Source organism: Homo sapiens, chromosome 6 (assembly GCF_000001405.40).
Source record: "Homo sapiens chromosome 6, GRCh38.p14 Primary Assembly".
Classification (NCBI taxonomy): Eukaryota; Metazoa; Chordata; class Mammalia; order Primates; family Hominidae; genus Homo; species Homo sapiens.
Window position 1 is genome coordinate 129956966 of NC_000006.12, and position 13757 is coordinate 129970722.

The 13757-nt window shown below is 41.8% G+C and overlaps 3 annotated features.

The window, feature by feature from the left end:
• Positions 2173–2709: an enhancer, noted in NCBI's record as "H3K27ac-H3K4me1 hESC enhancer chr6:130280283-130280819 (GRCh37/hg19 assembly coordinates)". NCBI's record gives its function as "activates a minimal SCP1, AML or CMV promoter by ChIP-STARR-seq in primed H9 embryonic stem cells {active_cell/tissue: H9 hESC(primed)}" and the evidence as "EXISTENCE:reporter gene assay evidence [ECO:0000049][PMID:30033119]".
• Positions 2710–3245: an enhancer, noted in NCBI's record as "H3K27ac-H3K4me1 hESC enhancer chr6:130280820-130281355 (GRCh37/hg19 assembly coordinates)". NCBI's record gives its function as "activates a minimal SCP1, AML or CMV promoter by ChIP-STARR-seq in primed H9 embryonic stem cells {active_cell/tissue: H9 hESC(primed)}" and the evidence as "EXISTENCE:reporter gene assay evidence [ECO:0000049][PMID:30033119]".
• Positions 12028–12748: an enhancer, noted in NCBI's record as "OCT4-NANOG hESC enhancer chr6:130290138-130290858 (GRCh37/hg19 assembly coordinates)". NCBI's record gives its function as "activates a minimal SCP1, AML or CMV promoter by ChIP-STARR-seq in naive H9 embryonic stem cells {active_cell/tissue: H9 hESC(naive)}" and the evidence as "EXISTENCE:reporter gene assay evidence [ECO:0000049][PMID:30033119]".

Here is a 13757-nt window from a genome sequence, read left to right on the forward strand (position 1 = left end):
GAGAATTTTTTATCACAACACTTTTGGTATCTATGATATATTCATGGCTCTTCTCCTTTAGTTTATTGATGTAGTCATTAGACTGAAAGAATTCCTAGTTTTGAATCATTCACACATTCCTGGAACCACCTACCTGATTGTGTAGCCTTCTTTTGATGTACTGCTGTTCTATTTGTTAATAATTTATTTAGAAAATTTGCATATATATCTGTTAGTAAATTTGGCCTACATAGCTTTTGTTCTTGTTGCTCTACTAGCTGTATTGGATGTTGGTATTAAGGCTATATTGATTTTATAAAATGAGCTAGGGAGATTTCCTTTCCACCCCTATGAGTTGGCATCATTAAAATAAGTATTATCTATTCTTCCAACATCACTATCAGTTTAAAATCAATATGGGCCTGATGCTTTTTAAATGGTTAAGTTTTGTCATCTTTCCAAATGCTTATAAAGGTTTTGTTTTTGTTTTTGTTTTTTAGTCAAGTTTCTTTTTCTTTGTGGTCAAATGCTGTAGATGCATTAGTCCGGATGGGTTATGCTAAGCTGAAGTAACAAAACATGCAATCTCAGAAGCTTAACACAGTAAAAATTTATTTCTAGTTCACATCACAGTCTGAGATGGGTCGTCAAAGAGCCATCCTTCAACTTATAGCTATGCTATCCGGAATATTCTAAAATCATCATTAAAAAGGGCTAAAGGGATGAGCAGGCTATGTTTAGGTCCTAGGCCCTGAAAGTACCCTGTATCACTTGTATATTCTCACATCTTTCACCAGATCCCTTCCTCATGGTCTTAGCCTAATAATGAGGCGCCTCAGTGCCTGTAAGAAGAAAGAGTGAGAAAATGAAATAGCATCTCTCTACCATATAAGTTATATTTTGCCAGGAAATTATCTAGTTCCCCTAGATTTTAAAATTCATTGCCATATAATTGATGACAGTGGTGGGCCATCTGGAGCAGCGGCTGCCATCATGCCAGCTGCAGGGGGGAGGCGTGAGTGGTGGCAGCAGGAATGGCTGTGGGAGCAGCGGTGGTGGTGGTGGGTCCCCTGTGCCCTGTATCCCAAGGCAGCCAACTGCACCACCCCCACCCTTGCATGATTGGGCAGGGCCAGCTCCTAGGTCCAGAGCCTCTACCGCAGCCTCAACCTCACTCCTCCACTGTGTCCCAGGGGCCCGCAGCACCTTGCTGAAGGCGAAGCTGGGGCCCGCGGGGCCCACCCTGGGAGCATGAGGTGGTTTCTTTGTACAAGGTTGGCCAGGGATGCCATCCTGGGAGCTGCTGCAATGGGGCTGGGCTGAGTTGCCCACCAGCAGTGGAGCAGTGCAGTCGGGCATGGGGGTGCAGGCAGAGAGGGTCCCTGAGGTGAAGCTGGGCCCAGGGCGATGCTGTGCTCCATGGAGCTGGTGGGAGTGAGGAGGAGGTAGGAGGCCCCCTCCTGGCATGGCTGTAGCCACCCAGGTTGCGGCTGTGGACCTAGGCATCTCTGCACTGTCAGGTGGCCCCGGGAAGGTACTCCCTTGCCCCTGAAGGCTCGGAAGTATCTGTTCCTGCTGCCTGGCCTCTCCTCACTGTCAGTGCCCACTCAGATCATGGAGCAAATTTGAGGCCAATCCCGGGTGCCGTGGCAACCTGGTCGGATGTGTGCACACTGGGAGCAGCACTGACATACCAGGCACCAGCCACCTCGGCCCCCTCCAGACTTTGCGCACCAGTGAGCACAGGAGAGAGGCCAAGGGGGTGCTGAAGGCAGCTTGATTCTGGCTTGCAGGCACCCCTTGGCACAAACAGCCTGGGCACCATGAAGAGCAGCAGGAGGCAGACAGGGGCAGAAGGAGCAGGTCCCTGGTGAAGCCCCACCTTCAAACCAGGGAAGACCTGAAGCCTCGGGGCTAGGCTTCTGGTCCCGTGGGGACCAGAGTGGGAAACTGTGGTGCCTTTTCTGGGCCCGCCCTTGGATGCCCATGGACCAATTGGTGCACACTTCCTCCCCTCTGAGGCCCATAAAAGTCCTAGACTCGGCCAGACTCAAGAAGGCAATGGGAGGACCAGCTGCAGAGAGGAACTGCCCACCTCAGGGTCTCCTCTCTGCTGAGAGCTGAGGAGATGACAGAATGACCAGCTGCAGATGGGAGCTACCCTCTCTGCTAAGAGCTGGATACTCATTGGGAGGAACTGCCTAGCAGAGAGGAGCTACCCCCTCTGCTGAGAGCTGAACACTCATGGGGGCACCTTGGCTATGGAGAGGAGCGGGTCTCCTCTGAGCTGTTCTATTCTCAGTAAAGCTCCTCTTTGTCTTGCTCACCCTCCAGTTGTCTATGTACCTCATTCTTCCCTGATGCAGGACAAGAATTTGGGACCCATTCAGCAGGGCTAAAAGAGCTGCAACACAAACAAGGCTGAGAGACTCCCCTTGCCTGCCACGTTGCGGGTGTCAAGGAGAGAAGAGACAAGGAGGGAAGAGCTGTGGCCCTTCAGGTATCCCAGACCTAGGAGCTCCTGGAGCCAGGGCTGTGAAACCCTCTTTAGGGCTCTGCGGTTCCTGGCGTCTCCAAGCTTCCGGGTGCCACAATCACATTCCCCAGTGTCAGCTGTGGAAGCTGATTTATGGTACTCCTGGTCCAGCTGCAGCCTCCCCGGGAGCTGGTGCCCAGGCCAGCACCTGGAGCTGCCCACACCACCGCAGCCAGTGTGCCTGGCTGTGCACAGTGGCCGGACCCCACACTCGCTCACGCACCCCCTCACCTCTCAGTGCCTGGCTTGCCCTTGGCAGGTGTGGGATCCAGGCCGGTAGTGGGGTCTAGGCCAGTAGCAGGAGCCAAGGGCAGGCTGCCAGGCCGAGTGGGCGGAATGAGTTCAGCAGGCCAGAGCAAAACTCAGTCAAAGGTGCACCCACCGGCCATAGAGGTTTCAGGCTGGCAGAGTGACACCGCGAAGATCCCAGAATTGTGTATAATGTATAATCATTTTAATTGTATCCCTATCTCAAATTATATCTTCTTTGTCATTCTTAATTTTGTATAGTTTTTTTCTCTTTTTTCCCCTTATCTGGCTTACCTGACATCTGTCTATTGGTCTTTGTACTATTCCAAATAAATGAATTAGTGGCGATAAGCAAAAGAAAGTTCCTGCTCCCATAAAATTTTTATCCTCCTGCTTTTGTTCAATCTATTTTGTTGTTTCTTATATAAATCAGATGACTTTTAATTTTTTTTTTTTTTGAGACGGAGTTTTGCTCTTGTTGTCCAAGCAGGAGTGCAATGGCACCATCTCGCCTCACTGCAGCCTCCGCCTCCCAGGTTCAAGCGATCCTCCTGCCTCAGCCTCCTGAGTAGCTGGGATTACAGGCACCCGCCACCATGCCTGGCTAATTTTTGTATTTTTAGTAGAGACGGGGTTTCACCATGTTGACCAGGCTGGTCTCGAGCTCCTGAACTCATGATCTGCCCACCTCAGCCTCCCAAAGTACTGGGATTACAGGTGTGAGCCACCGCGCTGGCCTTAAATTTTTTTTTTAATTTTTAATAAAAACTTTGAATTTTATAAAATTTATTCCAGCCTTAATGTATTCCATAGGTTTTGGTCTTAACAGTTCTCATTTTCTTTCCTTTTTAGATCACTATTTTCCTTTGGTTTTGATGTTTTGATTTTCTCTTTAATTTAGGATTTTAAAAATAAAATGGCACATTTTCATTTCCAAGGAATTAAATTTTTTGATGATTATATCTTTTTTATGTTGAATTATTATCAGATAATGTGGCCTGTAAAGTTTCTACTTTTTAGAATTGATTTAATGTTTTCTTTGTGGCCAAGAACACGATTGATTCTTCTAATGTTCCACAGATTTCAGTACAGAATATATGTTCTCTGATGGAAGACATAGTTTTATACACCTTGTAGATTGTACTATTAAAATAATCTATGTTCTTATTTATTATTTATCTACTTGATCTATCAAATTCTAGAAAAAGTATATTAAATTATTTCACTATATTTCTTTAAAGATCTAGCTGCACTTATAGAACCTTTGTACGTATTTGATGACTACACTATTTTGTGCATTAAATTTTATGCGTAATCTATGGAAAAAAACTTTCTTGAGTCTAGGTGAACTGCATCTCTCACCATTAAACAATGCCTCTCTCAGTTCTGTTTAATGTTTTTGGCCTTGTTGCTTATTGATATTTTCACACCTGCATTCTTTTTTTTTTTTCTTTTTTTTTTTTTTTTTGAGACAGGGTCTCACTCTGTCACCCAGGCTGGAGTGCGGTGGCCTGATCTTGGCTCACTGCAGCCTCCGGCTCTCAGGTTCCAGTGATTCTCCTGCCTCAGCCTCCCGAGTACTTGGGATTACAGGCGCACACCACTGCGCCCAGCTAATTTTTATATTTTTAGTAGAAGCGGGGTTTCACCATGATGGCCATGCTGGTCTCAAACTCTTGACCTCAAGTAATCTGCCCGCCTCAGCCTCCCAAAGTGCTGGGATTACAGGTGTGAGCCACCGCACCTGGCCCATAGCTGCTTTCTATTTGCCTGTTTTGCTGGTACAGGTTGAACACCCCTAATCTGGAAATTCAAAATATGAAATGCTCCAAAATCTGAAAATTTTGAGTGCCAACATGATGCCAAAGTGGAAAATTCCACACCTGACCTCATGTGTGGGTTGCAGTCAAAACGCAGGCAAACGATGAAGATGACATTGTTAACACTGCAGAAAAAGTGCCTATAGATGACATGGTGAAAATGTGTGATGGACTTATTGAAAGAATAGAGAAGCATGCATTCATAGAGAACAGGGCATTATGTCAGTTCATAAACTCAAAGAGACTTCTAAAACAAAAACTGTTATTAATGAGGCAGATGACTCTGGAGCAGACATTTTAAAAAGCCATCTGGCAGAACACCTCCTTATCCACAGAGGACCCACTTCTAGGCCCTCACCTGCCTCTGATGTTTATTCTCACCTAAAACAGAAGAAGAATGCAGTGTACAACAACCTTTAATCAAAACACAGCATTTTAGTTGCAGTTGCAGACTGAAAGCCTGCCATAGTTTGTTGTTGCTGTTGTTTACAGCTGAAACAGATATTCCATGCTGCTTAGTTACCCTGAACACATTAGTTTTTCACTGTATTAATGGTAGGTCATATTTTTTAGTGTTAAGTACTTGCTTGTGAATAAATGTAAGAAAATGATTGCTTATTGGTAGCATATACATTCAGAGTCAGGAGTGATGGTGTTGCCAGACAACCACAGATTGTCCACATGTATGGCTGAGATAGTAACATCTTCCCTTTCTGATGGTTGAATGTACACGAACTTTGTTTCATGCACAAAATTATTTAAAATATTGTATAAAATTACCTTCAGGCTATGTATATAAGGTGTACATGAAGCATAAATGAATTCTGTGTTTAGAATTGGTTGTTGTTCCCAAGATATCTCATTATGTATATGCAAATATTCCAAAATCTGAAAAAATAGGAAATCCAAAACACTTCTTGTCCTAAGCATTTTGGATACAGGGTACTCAATCTGTGTATCTTTGCTCACGTATTCATTTTCAATGATTCTTTGCTACTTTATTTTAGATGAGTGTCATTTCAAAATCATTTTGTGGTTTGGCCGGGTTAAAAAATGTAGTGAGAACTGATATACTCTATTTTATTCCTTCCATTATATTATATGTTTTCTTTATTTTTATTATGCTGTTGCTGTGTTTTCTCCCATTATTACTTCTTCTGCTTATGTCAATTTTTCCTTCGTTGCTTTTTCAAATTTGGTAATTTGAAATTTCTTCTCTCTTTTAAATTCTTCTTGTGGTTAAATCTACAGTTAAATCTATTCTTATCTATTATAATATCAGAATATAATAACAACTATATTGAATCCTATATATTTTATTTGTTCATGTCTCTTCTCCCCGTACCTGAAAATTACAATGTTTTTACTTCTTCACTCTCCTGCATACTCTATTCTTTCTGTCTTGCAGTTTTTTATTCTTAAACTTCAAGAATTTCAATAATACCCAAAGTCTATCTGGGCAGTAAGTGGGGACATTCACAGAGCTCACCTCCTTTGGTTCCTTTCTCTCAGTGCTGATTGTTGTTGGACACATGTTGACTAGTTTTCTAGTTATTTAATGTGGGAGGGTAAATCTAGTCCTTCTAATTACAACATTGCCAGAAGGGAAAGTTTGTTTGTCTCTTTTTAAAGTAACCTTTTGTAAAATTTGGTGAGCTCTATTAATTTGTATCCTCAAGTCTCTTGCTACTCAGGGGAATTTCCTCTCATGATTTAATTTTTTCCTTCCAATTTGCCTCCTCTGGAGTTCCAGAAGGAGCTGCACATGTCGAATTAATCCCTCGTTGGGTCTCCTAGATCCATCCTGCTCTTCTCTTTTTCCTTATTAATTCCACCTCTTGGTATTTTGCTCTGTGATCTGACATCTTTTCCCTATGGAATTTCTGCACTACTAATTTGCTTCTCAACAGTAAATGTAGCCTTAGGTGAGTTGTTTGCCTGATCTTGGTTTTGGGTTCCCTCAGCACCCATGCACACCCAGGCTGTTAGGTCTGGGGAGCATCAGGTGGTGTGAGGCAGAGCAGAATCCTTCTGTCCTGGAAAAGCAGCAAATGACTTCTTTATAGACTGTGAAAAATAAAGGGCAATGTTCGATGGCTGTCATTTTGGAAGCATTGATTTCTTCCCAAAGTCCCACTGTGTACAGTATTATGCCATTAATTTCTGTACATCCTTCTATCCCAGATTTCCTCGAATTGTGTTTGGCATTCTGCTTCTGAAGATTCCAGAATCACTCCCTCACTCAACACGTATCTATTGAGCATCTGCTTTTCGCCAGGCACTATTTTAGTGACTAGGGAAATGCCTATGAACAAAAACCTTGCTCTGCTGACACTTACCATCTAAAAGGGAGAGACAGAAAATAAACAAAACAATGTATACTTGGAGGTGTATGGTAAGTCCCATGAAGGCAGATAAGCAAGGTAAGGGGAATGGGCATGTGGGATCTGTCATGCTATTTAATTTAGGAGGGTCAGGGAGAGCTTCCTTTAGTAGGGTCCTGAAAGAAGTGGGGGTGGGGAGCGATGTGGATTTTGAAGAAAAAACTTTCAGGCCGGGCACAGTGGCTCACGCCTATAATCCCAGCACTTTGGGAGGCTGAGACAGGTGGATCACTTGAGGTCAGGGGTTCGAGACCAGCACAGCCAACATGGTGAAACCCTGTCTCTACTAAAAATACAAAACTGAGCTGGGTTTGGTGTCTGGTGCCTGTAATCCCAGCTACTCGGGAGGCTGAGGCAAGAGAATCACTTGAACCCAGGAGACGGAGGTTGTAGTGAGCTGAGATCATGCCACTGCACTCCAGGCTGGCAACAGAGTGAGTCTCCATCTCAAAAAAAAAAAAGAAAAAGAAAAAAAAACTTTCAAATGGAGGCAGCAGCAAATTGCATGACCCTGCAGTGAAAACTGCAAGGAAACCCGGAGGGTTAGAGCAGATGAGCAAGGCAGAAAGTGGTGAAGGTGAAGGCAGAGAAGTAGCTGCAGACAGAGAAGTAGCTACAGACAAAGAATGCAAGGTATGCTCAACCCCGGCACACATTAGGTCCACCTTTGGAGCTCCACCTAGAGAGAGTATGATTTAATTGGTCTAGGGTGAGGTCCAGTCATGGATATCTTTTTGAAAACTCCCCAGATGATTCATATGTACAGTTGGGGTTTAGGTCCTATGATGTATGGACTTTTCAGAAAAAGTAAAGCTTTAGATTTTGTTCTCTGGATTAAGTAAGAAAATAGGCTCTGAGTAAAGAACAAATAAGTGTCATGTGGGATAAGTATTGTGAAGAGAAACAAAGCCAGTAATAGGGGTAATGAGGAATGAAAGTGCCAGAGAAGGTTTTATTTTAGGGGAAGTAGTCAGTGGAAGACTATCAATTCTAGTGATAAAAATTTTCACAGTAGCCGAAAAGTGGAAAAACCCAAATGTCCATCAACAGATGAACATATAAACAAAATGTGGTATATATATCCAATGGAATATTATTCAGCCTTAAAAAGGAAGGAAATTCTAACATATTACAACACAGATGAATCTTGAAAATATTATGTTAAATGAAATAAACCAGTCATAAAAGTGCAAATATTGTATGATCCCACTTACATGAGGTGCCTAGAATAATTAAATTCATAGGGACAGAAAGTAGAATAGTAGGACCAGAGGCTGGGGATTGAGGAATGGGAGTTACTGTTTAACGGGTACAGTTTCAACTTGGGATTATAAAGAAAGTCTGGAAATGGATGATGATGATGGTTGCGCAACAATGTGAATGTGCTTACTGCCACTGAACTGCACCCCTAAAAATGGTTAAAATGGTAAATTTTCTTATATCTATTTTACCTGTATATACATTTTATATATATATAATTAACATAGAGTATATGGGAATTCTTTGTACTTTGTTTTGATTTTGCTATGAACCTAAAATTTTTCTAAAAAATAAAGTCTATTTTTAAAAAAGAAAATTTATCCAAACTTTAGGTTGTTTTTGGCAAAATATATACAACTGAGGACCACAAAGGACAGAAATATATGTAGGAAGAAGCTTAGCTACTCTGAAACAATTAACTGGAAAAAAGAACAAAGGAAAGTAATTATGCAGTTACATAGTCATTCAAGGCTACTGGACATTGTTTGAGGGAGATAATGTCAGATCCCTGGTATGAATGAAAAGAAGAGTGGGATTAGAACATGTTTTCCTGCTAGCCTGCAAAGTTCACTCTCAGTATGTCTTGACTATTAGGACTCTGCATGATTCATATTAGGTCTTGACAGCAGTAGGCCCTGATAATTCTAATGTCTGTATAAGCAGAATTCCACTGGGTGGGAGCAGAAAACAAGGCTATTCCTCTGCCCCTTCAAACCAATTCTTAGCTTTTGCTGTGACTCAAGTCATTTTTAGTCACCAGAGCAACCCATTTTAGTAAACAAAATGTGCAGTTCAATGTAACACATTTCCAAGCTTCATTTAAAGTTAGAACTTCTCCCTGACCCCAGCCTGGACCCACTGGGTCACAGAGGCTTCCAATCTCCTGCCTTCCTTCTCCTTTCCTTTGCCCTTACTGAGTTGCAGGCTGAGAATGACGAGAGGTAGAAGAGGTAAGGGACAGGGCGGACCCTGCTGGACCAGCAGTGATGTCATCAGGTCCTGGTTCCCAGGCTTGGAGCAGATTCCCAGAGCTGATTCTTCCTCTGATGGAATGATTCCATGGATTCCTTAAAGATGCTCCTCACTGGAGGCCTCCCTCTGCAGTCCCCTAGATATAAGCAATGCCTCTAATTGACAGGCTACATATACATAATCCCTTTGCCCCTGCACACCACTGGAATTCCCTTCCAGGCAGTGCTCTTGAACTTGATTCAACAGGGCTCCAAGCCAGATTCTTCCTATGTGGCCTAAGTCTAGTTGAGTCCAAGAACCACTACACACTCCTGCCACCCTTGCTGAGCAAGCAGTGCACTCACAGTACAGACCTTTCCCACTCCTTTGCTCTGCCATCTTGGGCTACTCTAGCTAGAACTTCTCCACCAGCCCTCATGCTCCCCAACTTCAGGAAGCATAGGTCAAGCTCTCAGAGTGTTTTCCTTGAAGCCCTTCTCTAGCTTGGCTTAAGGTGATGGAGAACTGACAATCACCAACCCCTCCCCTTACAAGATATGATCAGGAAAACCCCGAAGTATTCCAGCAACATACTCCAAAGAAATCCTCTCTCTTACTCTGCATCTTTAACCTCATTAAATTTATGCCTTTGAGAGGAAAATGGGTAGGGGTTTAAGTATTCTGTTTTTACAGTGGTGGTCTAGCACCTCTTCTTAAAACATCAGGGTTTTGGGAAACCATTATTTTGTTGTTGGCCTTTGTTACCTCAACCAAAACTCAGACTTAAAAATCCTTTTAACTTGTTAACACGAATTCTCTCCACATTAAGTAAAACATATTAGTTTATATTGTTTTACAAATGATTGACCCAGGTAATATATTTTAAATCATGAGCTACCATTATTGCCTGCCTCCCTGCTACCCCTATAGTTTTTATAGCTTAGTAAATGACTGTAAATTTAGAGGAGTAACAGGAGAATGCTAATCATCTCATTGCAAAAGAAGAACAACAAAAACTTATTTCTCCCTTGTTTGTCAACTCATTCAGGAACTCGCTCCACTGTATGAGTAAGAACAAAATGTTGTAGTAGTAAATACAAACATAAAGCATAATTAAATCTTGCTTAATTGGAATATTTTGAATAAACTACTCTGCTAAATTGAATTTTCAGGTTAAGCAGCAACCCCTTTCTGTTTCACTGTTTGTTATTAAATATCTTCCTTAAATTCCTTAGCTGCCTTAAATTCCTTTTGAAATCAGGCAACATATAAACGAACTCAAATTAAAATATATTTCCTTTTCTGCCTTAGTATGGATTGTAGGAAGCTTAATTTAATATTGAGAATTATAGGAAATGGAAGGTAGTAGCCCTTGTACCCTTGGCCTTCCTGCTCTGATTTTCTTACACACTTCTGGGGATATCCATGCCCTATAGGAAAGTAAAGCAATGGGCAGGGCAGCCTCATACCTGAGCAGCTAGGAATCAAAGTCAAGTCATTAGTCTCCAGCCAGGTACTGCTTTGAGCGTGAGAATGTGAAGAACCCAATTTGAAACACTGTCCTAGATTCCACTGTGTTGAGGGAAGACTGCCAGAATAATATACTGACATAATAATTTGCTTGCTCTTCTGTACTCTTCTCTTACTCTATTTCATGCAGTTAGCCAGGCTTTTTACTTCCTCCATGAAGGATTTTGGCAGAATATGCTGGAGGTCAACAATTTTTGAGTAACACCCATTGAATAAATTTTGTGGTGAGACTACAGGATAGGAGGAGAGTGATTTTGAGAGGCTAACAGTAGGGGCAGGGAATTCTATAAGTTGTGGAGGAGTGAGGGGCCTATGGGACCCTGGCAGTTTTCTCAGAGGAGGTGAAAGTCTGGAGAAACAGAGTTTGCAAGGTGTACCTTGGGAGGAGGGATTTCAGGCATAGTTTTCTGGTTTAGGCAAAGGCGCCTACTTCATCCATGATAAGAGTAGAACTTTTGAAGAGAATGGAACCATATATACAGTAATAATGAATATTTGGAACAAAAACCAATATGGCCTAATGACTGAAAGGGGTTTTCATGTGCATTGGTGTCATCTAAGACCCCAAAATCTTTATACAACTTAGGGCATGAGTACGTGTAGTCAAGGAAAAGAGACACCAAAGAGACTAAGCCTAGTAGGACTGATGCTGGGAGTAAAATTAAGTAGATTTAAAGAATGATGACATTTGTTGCACCCTGGGTATGTGCACTAAGACTCCTTGTCTCTGAGTTCAATGAGTTTAGGACCCATGGTTGTGTTCATTCACCATTAAATCCCTTAGTCCAGCCCTTGGCACCTAAAAGGTGCATAGTAAAGTAGAAATGCACAACTTCTCCATTAGAATCTTCCATTGTTTTGCATAGAATAAGAGACCTGTTGATATTGTTGACTTAATTTTCTTATCTCTAAAGTATTGAAAGGAGTTTTTTTTTTGTCTCAGAAGGTTGTAATAGGGTTTAAATGAAAAACACAATCCAGGCGCAGTGGCTCACACCTGTAATCCCAGCACTTTGGGAGGCCAAGGCGGGAGGATCACAAGGTCAGGAGATGGAGACCATCCTGGCCAACATGGTGAAATCTCGTCTTTACTAAAAATACAAAAAAATTAGCCAGCCATGGTGGTGGGCACCTGTAGTCCCAGCTACTCGGGAGGCTGAGGCAGGAGAATGGCATGAACCCAGGAGGCGGAGATTGCAGTGAGCCGAGGTGGCGCTACTGCAATTTAGCCTGGGCAACAGAGCAAGACTCCGTCTCAAAAAAAAAAAAAAAGGAAAAAAAGAAAAACACAAGTGCTTATTAGGCAGACCAGGCAAGTTTCCTTCTGGTTCCTCTGTACTTTTTTTTGAGACCTTGACATGCTTCCCTTGTCCAGGGTCCCCTTTGAAGGCTTCACAGCTGTAATAAAATCTCACAGATTTCTGAGGGCTCTCTGTCTGTCTTTTTCTAGGCTTCCCCAGAAGCCATGGTTACCCAAGGCAAGGTTCCGAGGTAGGTGATGATGTTGCAGATGGCCTTTTTGTGTAAATGACTAGGCAGCTAGTCAATAGTCTGTGAGGTGCCTGGAGCTGTATTTCCCCTCAGCAGGGGCACATTATCCTTGATGGTGACTGACTTAGCCACCTAGATCCTTTGAATAGGGATTTCAAGTATGAAGTACTAAAGAGTCAACGGTTACTAATGCAGGCAGAAAGTCATCCACTTATTTATTCAACAAACACTTATTAAGTCTCAACTATTTTCCAAATACTCTTCTAGAAGATGACAAATAGCTAACACAGAAAACAAACGAATATTCTGCCCTCCTAGTGCTTTACATACATTCTTGTGGGAGATAAAACAATAAACACATACTATTTTTAATTGATTCAAAGACACGCATCTTTTCACATTTTTAGATCTCTGGAAAAGGGAATACATCTTATAGTCACTGGCATCTTACAAGCACACCAGTCATTTTTCTATGTGAACTTAGATATAACTGTTTATAACTATAAACACAATTAAATTATGTGCATTGCTGGAATTTAAATACTGCTTAAAATGCCTTCAAAGGATAGCACTCTTATGTGGCTGAAAAAGAAAATGTAGACTAAACAGTCTCAGAAATAGAGAAATGGGACATAAATTGATGTTAGAATACCAAGTATTACCATTTGAAGAATGACCACAAGTTTATATTTCTTGCTTTATTAATACTAAGAAAGGAAGATGCTCACAAGTGGATGAAGCTGTATTGCATTTTATTAGTGAGATACTGTGTGGAAAAACACAGACATTGACAAGTATGAGTTGAGGAATGAATCAGAAGATTAACCTGAATGTAAAGATGTTTTATGTATAACTAAATTGATTTATTTTGCTTACATTTCCCTTTTTATGGGAAGGAGATATGATTTTTTTAAAAACCATGTCTAAATAAGTCTAAAAGAGCTCTTTCAATGAGTATAAAATAAAAATTTTAAGTGACAAGAAAGATGATGTGAATTTTGTCAGAGTTTCTCTTTCTTGATGGGTGTATGAAATAATAGCACATATTTCAACTGATAACATCTCAGAACTGATGAAATTCAGCAGCTATATAATGTCCATGCTAAGTGCCATAAAGAAAATAAAGCAGGTAAGGAGATAGAGAGTAATGGGAAGATTGTGTTGTTTTCAGGTGTGGTATTCAAGGAACACCTTCCTACTAAAAAGACATTTAAGCAGAAATCTATAAGAATTGAGAAAGTAAACCATGCAGATGTCTGGGGGAGGGCTTTTCCACATAGAAGTACTGCAAAGGCAGATGTTCCGGAGAGAGAGGATGTATGAAGTGTCTGAGGAATAGAAAAGAGTTTCCTGTGGCTGGAGCACAGTGAATGAGGGGGAGAGTGATATTAGCTGAAGTCCAAGAAGTAGTGGTGGAGGTACATACACATTATGGGAGACCTGGGAGACTATGGCAAGGACTTTGGATTTTAGTCTTAGTTTGATGGAAAGTCATTGGGGATTTTTCAACACTAAATACTGCATGAAGAACAGAGTAGGCAGCAAGGTAGGAGCTAT